The sequence below is a fragment of the Homo sapiens genome, chromosome 16, assembly GCF_000001405.40.
Source record: "Homo sapiens chromosome 16, GRCh38.p14 Primary Assembly".
Classification (NCBI taxonomy): domain Eukaryota; kingdom Metazoa; phylum Chordata; class Mammalia; order Primates; family Hominidae; genus Homo; species Homo sapiens.
Window position 1 is genome coordinate 80,540,612 of NC_000016.10, and position 19,039 is coordinate 80,559,650.

Below are 19,039 nucleotides of genomic sequence, written 5' to 3' on the forward strand. Positions count from 1 at the left end.
AGGGCAAGTATCACACGTGGACATTACTGCTTCCGGTACTGTTTCGTGCATTTTGTTTGGTGCATTTTGTCCGTCTCCCTGGCACCTGGTGGGTGGTGAATCAGCAGTTTTTGAACGAATAAGTGGTTATCACATTAATTCGTGCCTCAATGAATGAATGAATGGACAAACACAGGCCGGGAGCCTGACCCACTTCCCTCTTCCCTCCCGGGACCCACTGCTCCAGGATTGGGCGAACCTCAGGTGAGCGCCTGCTCCCCTCTTCCGCGAACCTTCGCCTACGGCGGCCGGGAGGCATCAGGAGCGCGGTCAGGGCGAAAAAGCCGACTCGCGAGCGCGCAGGCGCAGCCCTGACGCTTCCGTGGGGCCACTTCCTTTTTTGTCTCCTAGCAACGGCGGGTAGCGTTGTTGACATCCCGGGAGGCTGTGCCGCCGGCCTGAGCCCAGAGTTTCGCGGCCTCCGCGATGGTAAATCTGGGGTCTCCGTCCACGCCCCGCCGTTCCAAGCACGCCGACCGTCAAGGACCTTCGCACCCAGCTTCTGGGGCCCACCCAGGCACGGGCGGTCCAGGGGCCGCGGCGGAGGCTGGTGGCTCCAGGATCTTCCTGGAGGGGCGAGAGGGAGACCTTGGAAAGGGGCAAGAAGATGTCTAGATGACTGGAAGCTGTTTTGGGAATTGATTTCGCGGGGATGGTACATAAGGAGGGGTGATGTTGAGAAAGGGAAGAGAGAGATTCAGAGGATGAAGAATGCTCAGGGGAGTGAGAAATCCGGGGAGCCAGGAAAGTTTCCAAAGAGGGGGCGGGAGGCCGAGATGGAGAGGAAAAAAAATCAGACCCTTAGAGAGAAGGAAGAGGTGGGACAGGGAAAGCAAGGGAATGGAAGGGTGAGAAGGGAAGATACTGAGAAAGAAGAAAGGGAAATAAAGAAAAAGGAAAGAAGTGATGGGAGACCCGCCCCCCTCCCCCCCAGAAAAAGAGGTAAGAAAAAAAAAAGTAGAGACTGTGGAAAGCAAAGGGCGTTAAGAGAAGAATGAAACGGGGATTGGAGATGGGGATTAAGAAATTATACTAGGAGCACTTACAAATCATGAGAAGAGAAACAACTGGGTGGAGAAATGGAAAGGCCAGGGAAAGAAAAGAAAGGAGTTTGGGAGATAAGTAAAGGGAGAAAGATAAATAAGGACACAGTGGCTGTAAGAAGCTGTGGACATCGTCTTAAAGATTGCCCAAAATGCAGTGAATTATTGATCCCCTGTTCAACGCTTACGGTTTAGTGTAGTGTTTCTCAAAGTCAGATGCAAACATTCGTTGCTACATAAGATGGCCGAGAAATGCTAAATAAGAGTGAATCACATCGTGAGAAAGTTATTCCTCTTCCATTTTGTTCAACCTTCAGACTACATACAGGAGAAAATTTCTGTTGCTATTAGGTCCTTAATACCACTGTCATTTGGAAATTTCCATTTTTTCATCCGAAGAGCAGGCCTCAGGCTCAGAGCTTTCATTGCAGTAGAATTTAATGATAGGCTCTCTCTTCATTTTGTTCATTTTGTTTGTTTTACAGTTATTTCTATTTATGAGGAATAACGTCAGGTTTCCATTTGTGGTAGTGACATACGATTTCCTCTTAAAATGCATTTATTTAAGCTTTTAGCAGTGAGATAATTTAAAGAACACCTAGATAAATAGTATACATGGCATTCATAATGGCAAGAATCATGAATCTAGTACACAAATGCCTAAAGTCAAGAAAACCTTGGCTCTGATGCTGAAATAGAGAAAATAAGTGCTCCTGCCCATACCAAGTACAAAGGAAAACTATCTTGAAGTAACAAAATGTTCACCTGTGCAATACTGAGGAAAAAAGAATATAGCAAACCCTCATCAAGAGAATTTGCAGAATTCAAAATATCCAGTGATTGCTCAGTCATGAAAAATTTGCAGGTTTGGAAAAGATCGTTCTTGTCTTTGAGTTTTCTACAGGGGAAGAAAACATACAATACACTCTACACATAAGATTCCGAATGAGTTTAAAACACAATAATAGATTCCAGAATAATCACTCATAGTTGAACATTCAGCTTGCACTGAGACGCAAGCTATAGTTATCAAGAAAATCCTAGAATCCTGGAATACTTTGTTTTTATAGACTATCCTTTAAATTTAATCATCCGAACTGATTAGGTCACATTAATGAAAATAAGATTTCTCAATAAGGACTACTTTTAGACAGAGGGAGGCCATGATATAGCTCTATAAATATTTAAAGCACTGTAATGTAGAAAAGGAATTTTCATTTGAATACAGCAGGGTCAATGAATGAAAGATAATCTGGGACAAATTTCCATGCAATGTAAAGAATACTTTTCTAGTAAATGGAAACAGATAAAAATGGAGTGAACTCCTGTGAGGCAGTAAGCTCTCTGTCTCTACAAGGGTTCAAGCCAAGAGATTCATCAGGATTGTATCCAGGAGGTCTTACGTAGGTATTTATGTGGGACTTGACAATTTCTAAGCTGTCTTTTAAAAATCTGAGATTATCACACCTGGCACCTTAGGTTAAGGAGATAGGAGAGTAGGTATCTTGCTAAACATTATTCTCCTTAGGGTTGAAGTTACCACAGGGCCCTTTTGGTTAATTATCTTCCTGGTCTCTTTCAGGCAGAGGTGGAGGAAACCTTAAAGAGGATCCAGAGTCATAAAGGGGTTATTGGAACTATGGTTGTAAATGCAGAAGGTAAATATATCACAGGCTGTCTTCTTGACACACAGAAGCCAACCAGGAACCTGTTTGCCGTGTTAGTCCTTAAGACAAACATCTTCGAATTTGACATCAAAAATATATTTATATATTTTAGCTCTGGCATTCACTTACCAAACATCTATTGAGTATCTGTTATATGCCAAACACTCTGCTAAGATCTGGGGGCATAAATATGAATAAGACATGTCTAAAAATCTCTATATACTCCTAAGAAGCACTATACATTGTTTACTTTTTAAAGCTTTGGTAATTCTCTTCCAACATTTCAGAAGTGCCAATAAAACTATCATATAGAAGATAGGGAGAATATCATTGTTGGTGGGTTGTTTGCGTTTCAACATTATGAACCATACAGAATTTCAGTGTTTATTTTAAATGGAACTTGTTCCTTGAACATATTTTATTTAAAAATCTTTGAGAATTAACGATATCATTTATAATATAGTCTTTGTGGATATAGCATAAGAAGGCCCTACATATTTCCAACTATGAAATCTGTAGACTTACCAGAAACTTGCTCTTGCTGCACGATCCTTGTTAAGAATCCACATCACATTTACTTTGGCACATTGCTCCACGCTCAGCTATGGTGGCAACCTCTTAAGAGTTCATGCTAGTTTCATTGCTAATTCAGACATTTGTAAGGGCAAGGAGTGCCAGAAATTCCAGAGCATTAGTTAAAATAAGAGTAGCTACTTTACATAATTTGTGGTGCAACCATGGAATTGGCCTATTACCAACTCAGTGCCTTGGAAAAATCCATCAGTAAATATTTATTAAGCAACTACCAACTGAAAGTCTGCTTAAATTCTGAACTACAACTCCTTACCACTAAGAATGGACAATAACCTATTTTACTGGGGGTTTTCATTGTTAAATGAGACAATAATTGTTGAGTGCTTGGCATAATACCCAATACTTGATAGTAATTAAATAGTTATGAGAATGTGAGGATTTTTAATTCATTTATACAGTTAAAACATTTGTTTTATAACCAGCAACTCAAGGCCAAATGAGTGAGAGAGATAATAGAACATAATAAATTTTCGAGCTTGAATAATCAGGGGGAAGAGAGGATTTAAGATCTGCCTTCCAGGTAAGTCACAAACTATGCGTAATATTTCCAGGAAGCATTCCAGCCCTAGTACGTGGATCTGGTTGCATTGATTTTATTTCCAGGTATTTGCATACACTCTGCCACAGCTCCGAAGATGAGCCGTCCATGTGATTTCATAGAGATGGTGTGTTAGTTTCCTTTGGCTACAGTAACAAACTACAACATGCCTGTTAACTTAAAACAACAGAAACGTATTCTCTTCCAGTTCTGGAGGTTAGAAGTTGAAATCAAGATGTCCGAAGGCTCATGCTGTCTCTGAAGACTCTGTGGGAGGACCATTCCTTACCTCTTCCTAGCTTCTGGTAGTTGTCAATCTTTAGTGTTCCTTGGCCTATAGACACATCACTCCGATCTCTGCCGCCATCATCACGTAGCATTCTCATCTTTGTGTCTGTCTGTCTGTTTCATTATAAGAACCCCAGTTATTGGATTAGGGCCTACCCGAATCCAATGTGACCTCATCTTAACTAATTATATGTGCAAAGACCCGTTTCCAAATAAGGCCACCTTCTGAGGTTTATATTGGACTTGAATTTGGGGATTTGGGGGGTCTAGGGGGACACTCTTCAACCCTGTACAGGTGCATTCACCTGTGACAGCCAGAACCACTCATCTAATGTGATTCTTTGGAAGATCTTGGTCTAAAGTAGGTAATCCTGGTGATATGCCTCAAAGGTCTGAAAAATATTCACCCCCTTTGATCTATAATTTTACTCCTAGCAATTTATCCTAAAGAGTGATGAAGAAAATATCTAGGTATGAGGATACTCACTGAGGCATCATATATAATAGCAATAAATAAATAAACAGAAAAAATAAGTAAATAAATGTATCCTAACAGTAGGGGAATTTTTAAAGTAACTAATTTTACTTGATGAACATTACTCTATTTAAAAGGTTGAAGACTGTTTAGTGTCTTGGGAAACTACTCACAGTATTAGATGAAAAAAGCAGAGAACAAAGCGGTCACCGGCATGTTCTAATCCTATTTATGGCCAGGTGCACACATACACTTCAAATAAATAGGAAAGGAAGGGTAGGGATATGTTACAGTGATCACCCTGGGTAGTGAGATGAAAAGTGATTTTCACTTTATTTTCCTGAGGTTCCTCAATTAACACTTCTCTTATCCGAAGGCAACAAAATATTATTTTCAGTACCCATTAGCTTCTTTTTTTTTTTTTTTTTTTGAGATGGAGTCTCTCTCTGTCATCCAGGCTTGAGTGCAGTGGCAGGATCTCAGCTCACAGCAAGCTCTGCAGCTCTGCCTCCCTGGTTCACGCCATTCTCCTGCCTCAGCCTCCCAAGTAGCTGGGACTACAGGCACCCGCCACCACGCCTGGCTAATTTTTTGTTTTTTTTTTTTTAGTAGAGATGGGGTTTCACCATGGTTTCGATCTCCTGACCTTGTGATCCACCCACCTCGGCCTCCCAAAGTGCTGGGATTACAGGCGTGAGCCACCACGCCCAGCCTTCAATACCCATTAACTTCTAATTAACCTCTAATAGGATAAGTTTGTATTAGAATTCAGGACACTTTTCAAGGTTTCTGGGTACTTAAGAGTTTTTACCTGAAAGCCAAATTAACCTTTTTTCCCTAAAATATAAATGAGGGGCTTATTTTTATGGTTCGATTGTTAATAACCAGAGTATATAACAAGGGTGTTTATTAATGGCATATGGTGTAAGCTACGTGACCAGAATGTAATAAAATACTCAATTTCAACAACCTCCTCAATTTTAGATGAAAGCATCATTTATTTCAGTGCAGCTTTGTAGCTTTTCAGCTTTGGGAAGTCCCATGAAATTTAATACCAAAATATTTAACTAAGATGGTGTTTTATGTATTCTTGTTTTCTACTAGCGGTTTTGGTCTGCTAAATCAAGGCAAATCATTTTAGCATTTTCAGATTATATTTGTGGTTAGGTCAGACTTCTACCATGCTTATTCATTTAGATATCATCATATGCCATTTTATATATAGTCCTTCGGTTTCACTGTTACTGAAACACAGACTTCCTATTGATGACCGTAAAGTAGTCTTCCCAATTTAGCCCAATGCTACACGTTTTTATTAGAGTAGATTTTTGTTAGCATTGGTTTCTCATTTATAAAACCATTCATTGTTTACAATATTGCAACACTGATCATTGAATTAGATACTGGCAAATATGTATATTTGTCACCCGGGCAGTCAGATCTGTCGTATTTTCTTATGTATATAAGTCTGATTTCTACAGGCTCTTAATTTTAAATATTCCTGACATTTCTAACAATCTATCATTTGAGTTTCATTAGATTGTAACAGCCATCCAGCCAATTCCTTTTATTTTGAAATACAATCTATCAACCAAAGCACAAATGTGCAGTTGAAGATGACAAATTGAAATAATGAGTGCTGGCTTACTAGGATCACAGGGAGTCATATTGTAAAGTAGTGCCATCAGATTTTAGAATGCACATGCTCTTTGTTCTAGGAGCTTCAGTTTAGGAATTTATCCTACACATACATATAAATGTATAAATGTGAAATGAGATGACCAAGGACATATTCTGTAGCCTTGTTTACAAAAGTAAAAGATTGGGAACAGCCTAAATGCTCATCAGCAGGACATATTAAGTATATTACAAAACACCCATTCAACCGACTGTTATTCAGTCACTGATGAGTGACTTATGTGTACTGAATCAAACAATTTCCAAAGAGTATTAAATTTAAAAATCAAGGTACAGAATAGACAATGGTATCATTAAGATGAAGATTACAAACACAAACACATACATTCTTGAATAGACCTAGAATGTCTCTAGAAGGCTTCTAAGAAACCAGTGGTTGTTTCTCAGAAGGGAAGTGGGTAAATTTTATACCATGTGCTAAAATTACTTCTCAATAATTTTTTTAATTACCTCACATGGTGCCAAGCAAGAGTTCAATAAATATTTGTTGATTGATTTTTTCCAAGTGTGTATGGCGGATATGAAAAACTCCATGTGTTTCCACCGTGCACACTTATTCAAAAAGGCTAGCTGTTTTATTTATTGACTTGGATCATGAACAGACTAAATAGACCTGAGCATCTGATTCATAATCCTGTCATCTACATTTTAAATAATTTATTCTGGTTGTATTTCTTGTTTTCCTACTGAGCATTGCACCCTTAGTAGGTAGTCACTACTTAGGATGCAAAATAAAACTGCTCGTCAAAAAGTTCCCATCAAAGGTTGCATGCTTGCTACGTTTCCATTTTCTGCTTGTTAAAGATCCACGCTTTGTGACCTTCAAGTATGCAAGACAGCTGACTGCCTTCCAGAGAAAAAGTGGCCAACAAATCACAATAAAAGATTAGCAAGGTTTTTATTATGCTTTATTTATTGAATAGGTTTTCCTGTAAATATTATCCTCATACTGTTTAGCAAAACATTCTGGACATAGCAGTTATCTTAAAAGAAAGAGAAATCAGTCTTCAAAGTCAAAATTGATGGTCTTCAAGATTTTTATGAAAACCTGGTAAAATCCTAAGTTTGTAACACTCTTCCATTCTTGAAAGCGCTTGTCTCGTTTAATCGTTTCTGGACCCACATTCTCTGAAGGAAACCAGGAGCCATGTTAGGCTCATTTCTTGAGTGCCCTTAATACGGATACCTAAGGAATTTGATAGCAATTCCAAATTCACCTTCATATCTCCTCCTAAAATAAAAGCACATTTGCAAATCAAATCCCTGGCTATCTAGTAGTTCTTAAAATAATATGAAGGCTATCTCGGATTAGATACGATATATATAAAATACCTAGCACAGTGCCTGGTACATAATAGGCATTAATGCTGGGTGTTCCAAGTTGAGTTAGATTGATTTCAACTGAATTGAATTACACTTGCATATTCTTCTGGCTAGAATTTTCCACTTAATAGTTTCTGTTTTAAACTCATGTAACAGAACAATAGAGCAGACTGGGCATGGTGGCTCACGCCTGTAAACCCAGCACTGTGGGAGGCATGAGGCGGGTGGATTACCTGAGGTCAGGAGTTCAGCCTAACCAACATGGTGAAACCCTGTCTCTACTAAAAATACAACAATTAGCCGGGCGTGGTGGTGGGTTCCTCTAATCTCAGCTACTCGGGAAACTGAGGCAGGAGAATTGCTGGAACCCAGGAGGCAGAGGTTGCAATGAGCCAAGATCATGCCGTCGCACTCCAGCCTGGGGGGCCTACAATAGCAAGACTCCGTCTCAAAAAAAAAAAAAAAATAGAGCACCCAAGTAGCCAAATTTAATAGTGATAAAGCCAAAAATGGGTGCAAACCACGGAATGCACAGCAAAACTACAATATCCTTATTACCACATTTTCTAACATAAAACTTAAGATTTGTGAAATACTGTGTGAGGAGTCCCTTTTGATGTACCCTCTAGCATGTGCAGTGATATCCCTTTATGTTTGTGGCCTCAGGGAAGAAGACTAACACCATGTCACAGAGCAAGAACTTCAGAGCAGACTCACTATAGACAAGATGTTCAGGGGAGTGCATTTCATATAAAAATATGTTAACTTAGTACTCAAGTAGTCAGTTAATGGCTTCTGAAAGATTTATGCACAAAAATGTTCATCATCACCCCATTAGCTATAAAAAATATAAGGTACCAAATGACCAAACAATAGGAGATTGATTATATGTCCATAAAATAGTGAAGTATGCAGTTATTAAAAATAATGTTGATGACATTGTCAACAAGGACAACTTGTATGTTATAATTTTGTGAAGAAAAAAGCAACAGTCAAGTTTGTAAATATAGTTTCACACAACTATACTTAAAAATCTACGTAGCGACAAAAGGATTTGAGGGAAATAAACTAAAATTGTTACCAGAGAGGGATAAGCCATCACTTTTTTCTCTTCTTTACAACTATCAGTGTTTTCCAATACTTCCACACTGTACTTATTACTTTTCTAATCAGAAAAAATATTAACCAAAATTAAATTTCATAATAGGTATTCCCATCCGAACAACCTTGGACAACTCAACAACTGTTCAATATGCAGGCCTTCTTCATCACCTGACAATGAAAGCCAAAAGCACAGTTCGTGATATTGATCCTCAGAACGACCTGACTTTTCTTAGGATCAGATCAAAGAAACATGAAATCATGGTAGCTCCAGGTAATTTGGCATTTCATTTCCTAGTTAAATCATCTTTCTAATTTGCTAGATTAAAAGCCTTGTTTCTATGAATGGTAAGTACAGATTTTAGTATAGAATATAAAACATAATATTCTTCTATTACAAAATGATGTTTGAATGTAAAAATCCCAACCAAAAAAATTGTATGAAATTAGCAATTAATATGACCCATGACTTTTGAACAGGTTGAATTTTGCCCACTTGCATTTATTATCAGTAATGAAAAAATTTAGAAAATGTACGTCTCATTTTCAGCAAACTTAGCATACAGACTCTGCAGAATGGGAGAAATGTTCCCTGTCCTGGGGATAAAGTAGGCAGTGAACCCAAGGCCTGTAGGTTCTTAAACCATGGCTGTGAGGAAAGTACATCCCCCAGGTCTACCAGAAGACATCAGCCACAGAAACACTCCTTTCCCTGAAGGAATTAGGTTCGCAATATTACAAAATGACTGTACAATGGGACCTATGCCACTAAACTAATCTAGAACAAACCTCTGTAACAGCAAATCCATCAAATCAGAATTGCTTATAAACTGAATAAAGTTTTTTCCTACACCAGTGTCCTCACCCTGGCTACACATCCAATCACTTGGAGGACATTTTAAAATTTTTTCCATTCCTGGGACTGCACCCCAAACCAATGAAATCAGAATCTCTGAGGCCCTAGGAAATGGGTATTTTCTAAAGACTGAACAGGTAATTCATACGTGCAGATAGGGTGGGAAACCATCTGTCTGCACAAGGTCCCTGTGATGTTTTGAAGAAAAAAGAAGACTAGTTGAAATATTCCTTGATTAAATTTAAATTAAGGGTGAATTGATTTTATCCATCTCTCCATAGATAAGGAATATCTTCTGATCGTCATTCAGAATCCATGTGAATAGACCTGCGATGGCCAAGGCTGTTTAAGCGACACTGGGTTGGAAACACTTGGCTCTCTCATGAGTATTAAAATTCTATTTCAATCTAACTGACCCTTCAAACATTCTTTTCTATTTCTATATCTAAACTGTTCTGCATGTCTCATTTAGTCCCTTTTGATTATATTGTGAAGTTGTACTTTAGTGATACAATAAGTGAATTCTGGTATATACGTCTCTATTGTCTTATAATACACAAAACCAAGGATTCTACTAAGACAGCGCTCCTTGTGATAATTATTTTAGTCTAGAAGTAGCTGTCATCAAGTACAGAAGTAGAATTTCGCCCATTTCTATGGTATACCAAGGAGATTCAGTAGACCATTATGGGAGCTATAAGGAGAGTAGAAAGTCCCAATACTCAAAGAGTGTTCAGTGGTTTCCCAGGTTAAATAAGGACAGTAGAGAGTCCGAAGCGTGGTTCCCACTGGGATCAGTGCCAACCTAAGCAGCTCCTCCATCCCTCGGACTTGTGCTTCTAGCACACCAGTCTGATGGGACCAGGAATGAGTCTTAGGCAAGGTTTCATACATATAAGGCTGAGTAGGTAACTCCAGAGGGTTTTATTTTTACTGGATGTTGCAAACATTCAGAAAATCGTGAAAATAATATAACAAATCTAATAGATTTCCATGCACCCCAAACCCATAGAGAAGAGATATTAATATTTTGCCACATTTGCTTTATATCCTCTTTTATTCCAACTAAACTTTGCATTTTGAGATAACTGAAGTTTCATGTGAAATTTTCAGAAATAATATAGTGATTCTGTGTGCCCTTTATACAGTTTCCCCCTGTTGCAACATCCTCCAAAACCCTAGGACAGTATCACAACCAGGAAATTGACAGTGACTCAATCAAGATACAGAATATCTCGGCAGGATTCCTCAGATGCCCTTTGGTAGCACCTCCCTCCAACCCTTGACCCCTGACAGCCACTAAGCTGTCCTCTGTTTATATAATTTTTAAATATCAAAAATGTTATGTAGGCCAGGCACAGTGGCTCCCGCCTGTAATCTCAGCATTTTGGGAGGCCGAGGCAAGCAGATCACCTGAGATCAGGAGTTCGAGACCAGCCTGGCCAACATGGTAAAACCCCATCTCAACTAAAAACACAAAAACTAGCCAGTCATGGTGGCGCGTGCCTGTAATCCCAGCTACTCAGGAGGCTGAGGCAGGAGAATCGTTTGAACCTGGGAGGTGGAGGTTGCAGTGAGCTGAGATCGCACCACTTCACTCCAGCCTGAGCAACAACAGAGTTAGACTCTGTCCTCCTCAAAAAAAAAAAGTAAGCGGAAAAATACAGTATGTAACCTTTAGGGATTGACTTTTTCCCTCTGCATCATTCTCTTGAGATTCATCCAAAAAATCAGAAATGAAACATTGCAGATACAGCTGAAGCCTGCTCCTCCTCCTTGTGCCTCTGTCCTCCTTCCCCAGAAGATTCTTGTCAGGAGGCACAGGTTACCCAATGCAAGGGTCCACAGGCACTTTCACCTAAGTTTCTGCCACAGCTCCACATGAAGCCAAGTATGAGAATGATGCCTGGTAAGTTTATTAGTTCAGCCACACCACTGGCCCCAACTTGTACCCTGTGAGACTATCAGAGCCAACCCAGACAGACGGTGGTATCAGCAGAAAGGAAGAGCCACACCAAATCCCTAAGGTTAAAGGGATTTACTCTCCCAAGTGGTGATGGGAGAGGAGACAGGTCATGGAGGAAACTTACCCAAGGCTGAGGGAGACAAGGGAGACTGAAGCCAAACAGCCAAACCTTTGTATGCAACAGATGTCTGAGCCCCACTGCATAACTCCATACTCCTGGGAGCAGTGCCTGCACGTGTAAATTTTGCAAATGTTCTCTAGGTAGTTGCAATGCAGCTGCAGGCCGAGACATGCTCAACCGTGGTCAGGAATGCAGGTTTTAGAGTCACTGGCCCTAGATTCTTCAAATTCTGACTCCACTGCTTGTCAGCAGTAGGAGCCTCATCGCCTCATATATAAAACAGGGTGATAAGAGAACCTAACCGAGGTTTGTTTATGAGAATCAGGTGAACTGATACAGATAAAATATCTGGCACACAGTGAATATTCAATAAATGTTTGCTTTTGCCGACACTGTTGCCGTCACTCAAAAATGGCTGTTACTTGGGTGCTGAGGAGGAGTAGCCCAAGACACATATAAATGAGTTTTAGGGATAACTCTGATGTTCCTCACATCATCAAGCCACACAATTATAAGGAGGTTGCTGACTCTGTCTGCAGAGAGAACAGAGCAAATAAGGAGATGAGCCCAAAGTATAACAGGAGTGTGTCTGCCTTAACCTATGGGATGAATAAACCCAGAAGGATTGTAGGATAGGGAAGCTATGCCATGGCACATAGCTGACTTTGGGGCCATTTTCCCATACTTTTTATTTTAAAAGACTTCAGACTTACGGAAGATTAGAAAGAATAGCACAAGGAACACCATACAAGTTTCACCCACATTCACCAACTGTTAATATTTTATGACATTTGCTTCATCTCTCTCTGTAAGTACATATTATATATAGATATAGATATATATGCACACACACATAGCATATAAAAGCTGCAGATACTATAATAGCAGGTATTTCTCCAAAATTAAAGAATCCTCTTACATAACCACCACACCAATTTCATACTTAAGAAGTTTAATATTAATGCAATAATATCATATAACATGCAATCATATTCAAATTGACACAGTGGTCCCAATAATGTTCTTTATAGCTTTTTTTTAAAAAAAGTCTAAGGGCCTATCAAGGGTCACATGTTGCATTTGGTTGTCATGTCTCTTTCATTTTTTAGCTGTTCTTAGAAACTTATTCTCCATTTCGCGACCTCTAGGTGGTATCCAATTTGTATTTGCTCTCCCTAGACACCCCAGTGCCACCTGCCCCCCATTCCCCATAAGCCCCTCCTGATTGGGCCCAGGCACTGTCTGTAATGACAGGAAATGAAGCTGCAGAGTGGGTCTTCATCACAGGTGAGTGACTGCCCTCATCTCAACCTCTTCCTTCAGCGCAGTGAAGCCTGAGTAACGTGGTACTCACTCAGCCCCGGACAGCTTCGGCGTCTGCTAACAGTTTCCAACATAAACAAGGTCTTGCTAGAATCTAAATGACAAGGAAATACACTAGTGAAGGGAAATCCATTCTTTTTAGAGTCTCAAATCATCACACCTGGAAAGAACCGTAGAGATCATCTATCTGACCCTTTGGTTTTACAGGTGAGGATTTCACCTGAGCCTGGTGTCAGGTGTCTTTAAGACATCAGGTATGTGAACTTGTATTGGTCTAGCCATGCTAATCAAACTGGCGCTTATGACATTATCAGGGGCTCATGCCCTTGTGAGAACCCTCCATACCATCCCCAAAAATTGTTTTTAGGAGGCACAGAATAGCTCATCGTTTTAAAGTGTTCCAGAGGTAACATTTGATTCTAATACCCAAATCTGTCTTCTTCCCATAGTTTCCTGCCCACCCAGAGCTTGTCATCAGATGCATGGCTAAGTGGTAAAGCCATTTCCTTCCTCCTGACACAGCCAGAAATTTCAAGCCCTATTTGCAACATAGCAGTGTGAAATCTCTGGCAGGTGCAGATGGCACGGCTGCAAGTGCCAGAACTCTATGTGGACTCTTCAGGGGAGGAAGACACTTCTATCCCACTGGGCAGGAAACTCACAGTGGTTGTGTCACAGTCCTGCCTGTACCTTTGCATCCAGAGGAAACTGTGAGGCTTCGTTGGGGCAGAGACTGTGGCAGCAAAAGGAAGAATTTGCCAGAGCCACTTACAACAAAGGAGGATGTGATCTCGGGAAGTTTGCACCGCACCTCTCTCCCTTCTGGCACATACAACTTCATATTCCCTCTTGGATTCATAACAGCATAGTTAATGACCTATATCTAAAAGATGGCTGGACCTATAGACTGAAGATTCACACCCATCCAAAACCATCAGCAAAGCTTTCAATTCCTATGGGAAGTGCAAGCCTGGGTTCATATAGTGCTCCCTCTTAGTCTAACTTGCTATAAATTTTACCTGAACAATAGAAGAGCTATTTGCAGAGTCTCTGGAGGAACATATTGCAACCATAAATATTAATGATAATGAACCTGGAAAGACCAGCTTAATAAAATAGCTGAAAATGAATTTATACATCATTAGCATTATGAGCTCCCAAATCTTCATCTCTGAACAGCTGGACTATCCCAGTAGAGGATGAGCAGGAACCCACGTAGATCTCCAGAGCGGTGCCTCCTGCAGACCCTTTTACTGGGTATGTTCTGGCTTTTGAAATACATTACCTATTCTCTTCTAAAGCCAAAATTACTACAGACTAAGGCTGGACACTTTGTCTCCCCTCTTGGTCTTTGAAAAATTACAATTATCCCCAATTTGTGTTTGATATGGGGCAAAATATCTCCACTCTTTTCGTGTTAGAAAATAATGTAATGTCCTTGAAATGGAAACTATCACGTGTAGGTGAAATGCCTATAGATATTCATTCAACCAATATTTGGTCTTATATTCTTTGTTGAAAAAAAAAGACAAGAAAGGCCGGGCGCGGTATCTCATGCCTGTAATCCCAGCACTTTGGGAGGCCGAGGCAGATGGATCACCTGAGGTCAGGAGTTACCAGCCCTGCCAACATGGTAAAACCCCGTTTCTACTAAAAATACAAAAATTAGCTGGGTGTGGTGGCAGGCGACTATAATCCCAGCTACTCAGGAGGCTGAGGCTGGAGAATTGCTTGAACCAAGGAGGCAGAAGTTGCAGTGAACCATTGCACTCCAGCCTGGGCAACAAGAGTGAAACTCTGTCTCAAAACAAAACAAACAAACAAAAACACAGGAAAACATGGATCATATGTGGGGCATAACAGTTTTCAGAGAGGTATAATCTCTTCTAATGGGGGACTTACAAATATAAGTTGGTCTCTCAAATCCTGAGAATCATAGGGCTAGAAGGCTCCCTTAACATAAAAGCATCTCTAATAATGGAAACTCAGGCATTCCCTGAGCAGTTTGGACTACATAAGGTTCAAAGTCTTCTCTGGTATGTTTCTTGTCCAAGATTTGACATAGAGGGTTAGCCGTGCACCCAGCCATTCCTTGAACCCATAGAAGAGAACACTGAATCTTCTTACTTCCTCCTGGCTTCTTACCCCAGGAAACCTACATTCTGTATTTCCCTTCAGCATATATGGTTTCAAGACTCCCTCTATAGATGTCACCAGCCTAGAACACTCCTGCCACAAACAGAATTGATTTTAAAATTCTCTCTCTTTGGTCAACTTTACAACTTGAGACACAATACGATACAGCTGAGAGAACATGACATCTGGGGCCTGACTCTATGACTTACTAGCAGAGCCAACAACTTTGAACCTCAGTTTTCCTGTCTACAAATGTGAAGAATGTCCACCCACAGCAGCCTTGAATTCTGAACTATACAGGCCAGTATAGATGCCAATTACTGTTATTAATAATAGCAATAGTGGCAAAATACAAGTTTACCACAATACAAGCTATTTAATGCATCTCACTGCGGCCTCTTCTCATCTTTAATTGTAAATATTAATAGGTTTACAGAGTGGTGATCCTGTGGGGCACAGTTTTGTGTAATCCCTTTCCTTTTCATTTGGTTAGCATTTCCACATTCCCAACCATAATTCATATTGATGTGTAATACCCAAATGCAGTTTCATCAGGTTGGTCAGTGGTAAAGACGTGGTCCAGGTGAGGCCAATGAGAGATGTTTCCTTAGTATTTAGATGTGGAAGACAGAGAGAAAATTTCCATGTGGCTTGACCTGTGCAGGAAAACACAGGTGCTGGGGGTAGCCGTGTGCTCCACATGGGAGTAGCAGAAAAAACCAGTTCTGAGAAGAAAAGAATGCTGCAGTTGTGCATTGTGACATGGAACGAGAGGTACAGTGTTCATTCCAGGGGCTCCCTGCAGTTTTCTGGTCCTCAGCTGCATTTTGGCACTTGGATTCTATGTGGCAGCCCTGAGGTCTTACAATAAGTCTTCCATTTTGTGTACACTGCCAGAGTAGGTTTCTGTTGCCTGAAACCAAAAAGACTTTAACCAACAATTTTGGGCTATATTTGGGTCGCCCCTGGCTGTTTTAATCAGACACAGTGGAGGAAGCGGAGCCAGCTCAGGAAGTGAGCATTAATCAGAGGCTCTGAGCAATGGGGTCATGGTCACTCCCTCCCTAGCTTCCAATATGGCCAGTCAGGAGGACAGGGCACTAATGGGCCTGTCAGGAGGTGGACTCTGGGGGACAGAGAGACACTGAGGTGTCACTCTCACTGGGGAGCAGGGACTTTAGTTTATTTCCACCTGATGAGTGGCATCTGCCTTTGTCATTGGCTACAAAAAGAATGGGCCACCTGGACTCTGGGCAGGTGCATTTCCGAAGCAGCACTCCAGGTGTCCGAGAGCGTCTGGAGTGGTGGAGATCCACACACTAGAAAAAAGGGATAAAGTACAGTATGGAATAACATGACTTCCTACTCTCCCCTGTTTCCAGAAGGCAGTGAGGTACAGAAGAAAGGACACTTTTTTATAGCCAGACAGGTCTGTCTTTGGCTCACAGCCCGGCCATCAATAGTAAAAATAACAAGAAGAACAGCAGCGGCAACAGCTAACATTTGTTGATCATTTACTATGTGACAGGCACATTAAATCCTCACAACAGTCTCATTTTACAGATAAGAACACCAAGGCATAGAAAAGTTTCACAGATTGCCCAAGGTCAATCAAGCTCTTAAATGTCAAAGGAGGCACCCAAACCCCAATACTTGACTCCAGCACACACTGGTAGCCACTCCTTTACATGGCATATTCACCAGACAGCTGGCAAGGAAATTAACCTCTCTGACCTCAGAATCCTCACCTGTAAAATACTGGCCGTGAATCCTGCACTGTAGGTTGTTAGGAGACTAAAAAAAAATCATAGAAAGCATCTGACATTTTGTAGATGTTCAACAATTATTGCTATTATCATCATCACCATCATCAATGCTATCTGGAGAACCAATAAGTGCTGAGAGATGACCACCATGGCTGTTATGTTATCACTGTAAATATAATCAATATCATAATTTTGACACTTAACAATATCTGATGGGGTTCACCTGACAGAGAAGTTACTCCTAATCTTTTCATCAAAGCCCCTCAGATCTCCAGCAACCAACCATCCATATGGATCAACAGGATTTCAGATCACCATTCCATTCATGGAACATCCTCATATCTGGAATTGCCAAAAGGATTAACTTTCCCATCGAGAATACATCTACTATTCTGTGTGTTCACCAAGCCTACACTTTATCCCATTATGTCTACACATAAAACTAGTTTGTTCTATGATTTATCCTCCTCCCACTGTCTATACTTATAACCAGTTTGAAACATTCCTTCTTCCCCTGTCCCCATTCTGCCTATACATATAGCCAGCTTTTCTATTTTGTCTAGATTGGTTGACTAATTCAATCCATCAGACTGATTTTCTGTTCTGTATTGACTAACTACATTGACTCAACAATCAAGAGAAGGTGAATTGGTTGTGCTTTTTTTTTTTTTTTTTTTTTTTTTTTGAGACGGAGTCTCGCTCTGCCACCCAGGCTGGAGTGCAGTGGCGCGATCTCAGCTCACTGCAAGCTCCGCCTCCTGGGTTCACACCATTCTCCTGCCTCAGCCTCCCGAGTAGCTGGGACTACAGGCGCCCACCACCACGTCCGGCTAATTTTTTGTATTTTTAGTAGAGACGGGGTTTCACCGTGTTAGCCAAGATGGTCTCGATCTCCTGACCTAGTGATACACCCGCCTCGGCCTCCCAAAGTGGTGGGATTACAGGCGTGAGCGACCACGCCTGGCCTTGTTGTGCTTTTGACAGTCCATTAAGCTTCTGCATTGCCTTATTCTTATCCCAGTACCTGGCAGAAAAATCTAGCACATGGTGGGTGCCCAGTGTCTGAGGGTTAAATGATCAATGTTTATCCCCATCCTATTTTCCTACTTTAGGAACACTGCTCCCTGGATCACAAGATTGGTTGCAAAAAAGGTCCACCAAGGTAATCAGTGCCTTTGAAGAAGACAGAGTTAGCTAAATCTCCTAAAAATACTCAAGACAGGATCCTGACCAATTAATTAGCAGCTTCAAAGCTTGAAGTTCTCAATTCACATTGCAAAATGAATCAAGGCAGGTCACTGACTCTCACAGGCCTCCTTCTGTATCTGCTCCTGCACAACTTTCTGCTTCTTGAATAGCCTCAAGGAAATATCTGGAGCCTCCTGATCAATGCCAGGAGAGCAGAAGGCCCGGCTTCTCAGAACAGGCTCCAGCCATCTCAGCTGCACCCTTTGGGGAGCATAAATGGGAGGCCTGTATCAGCAAGTCCCACATCTCTGGGAAAAGAATCATCAGACTGCAATGCCCCAAATGGTGCCAGCAGCCAGATCTTGTATTCAATATGAGCTTTAAGTTGTTCACCAACTCTGAACCTTTGCATTGGGTATTCGGTCATATCTCAGGGGAAGTGGAGGAAAGTAAATGTCTAGTATCGCCAAGAAAAAAAATTAAAAGCACAACACCGTCAGTGAGGGCAGGAGGACAGGAAAGGGGATATTATCGGACATGTTTACCTATTCTTGCCAAACCTGGCAATTTCCAGGAGAGGCAAAGAGAGATTATTAACCGTTTATGAAATCTTGAATTAATAAAAACGCTGGCTCCATCTAAGGCTCTAACGGAAAGAAGGTGTGCTTCTTAATCAGAGAACCATTAACCAGGTGGCATCCCATTCTGCAAGCATTTAACCATAATTGCTTTAAGCCAGGCACACTTTATGCCCGTGAACAGACATGGGTGACGTCAGGTCTGCCTAAAGGAGCTCCTGGTGTAATAAGGGAAACAGGCATGCAGAGATGTACATGTTCAATACAGTAAGTTAATAGCAGCACATGAAGTATGAGTGAGGGACAGTGGAAATGCAGAAAAAGGACTGCTGGTGTGCA

At 41.0% G+C, this 19,039-nt stretch overlaps 1 protein-coding gene and 1 long non-coding RNA gene across 6 annotated transcripts in view, besides 1 other annotated feature; one reads left to right on the forward strand and one right to left on the reverse strand.

The window, feature by feature from the left end:
• The window catches only part of DYNLRB2-AS1 (DYNLRB2 antisense RNA 1), a 407,178-nt gene that overhangs the window by 384,654 nt on the left and 3,485 nt on the right, over window positions 1-19,039 (reverse strand). The window lies entirely within an intron of this gene.
• DYNLRB2 (dynein light chain roadblock-type 2) lies at window positions 123-10,200 on the forward strand. Of its 5 annotated transcripts, NR_130943.2 has the most exons (5): window positions 382-468; window positions 2,665-2,740; window positions 7,147-7,236; window positions 8,873-9,040; window positions 9,904-10,200. NR_130943.2 is itself a non-coding variant. In NM_001305017.2 (4 exons), the coding sequence occupies exons 1-4, from the start codon at window positions 154-156 to the stop codon at window positions 9,945-9,947; spliced, it is 378 nt and encodes a 125-aa protein (NP_001291946.1). In that variant the 5' UTR covers window positions 123-153; the 3' UTR covers window positions 9,948-10,200. The 5 variants fall into 5 exon arrangements, 3 of the variants coding, with proteins under 3 accessions (NP_001291946.1, XP_006721358.1, NP_570967.1); NM_001305017.2 differs by lacking the exons at window positions 382-468; window positions 7,147-7,236 and adding an exon at window positions 123-243; NR_130942.2 differs by lacking the exon at window positions 7,147-7,236 and having other exon boundaries at window positions 8,332-9,040.
• Window positions 433-522: an enhancer, noted in NCBI's record as "active region_11167". NCBI's record gives its function as "activates an Ori minimal core promoter by ATAC-STARR-seq in GM12878 lymphoblastoid cells {active_cell/tissue: GM12878}" and the evidence as "EXISTENCE:reporter gene assay evidence [ECO:0000049][PMID:35858748]".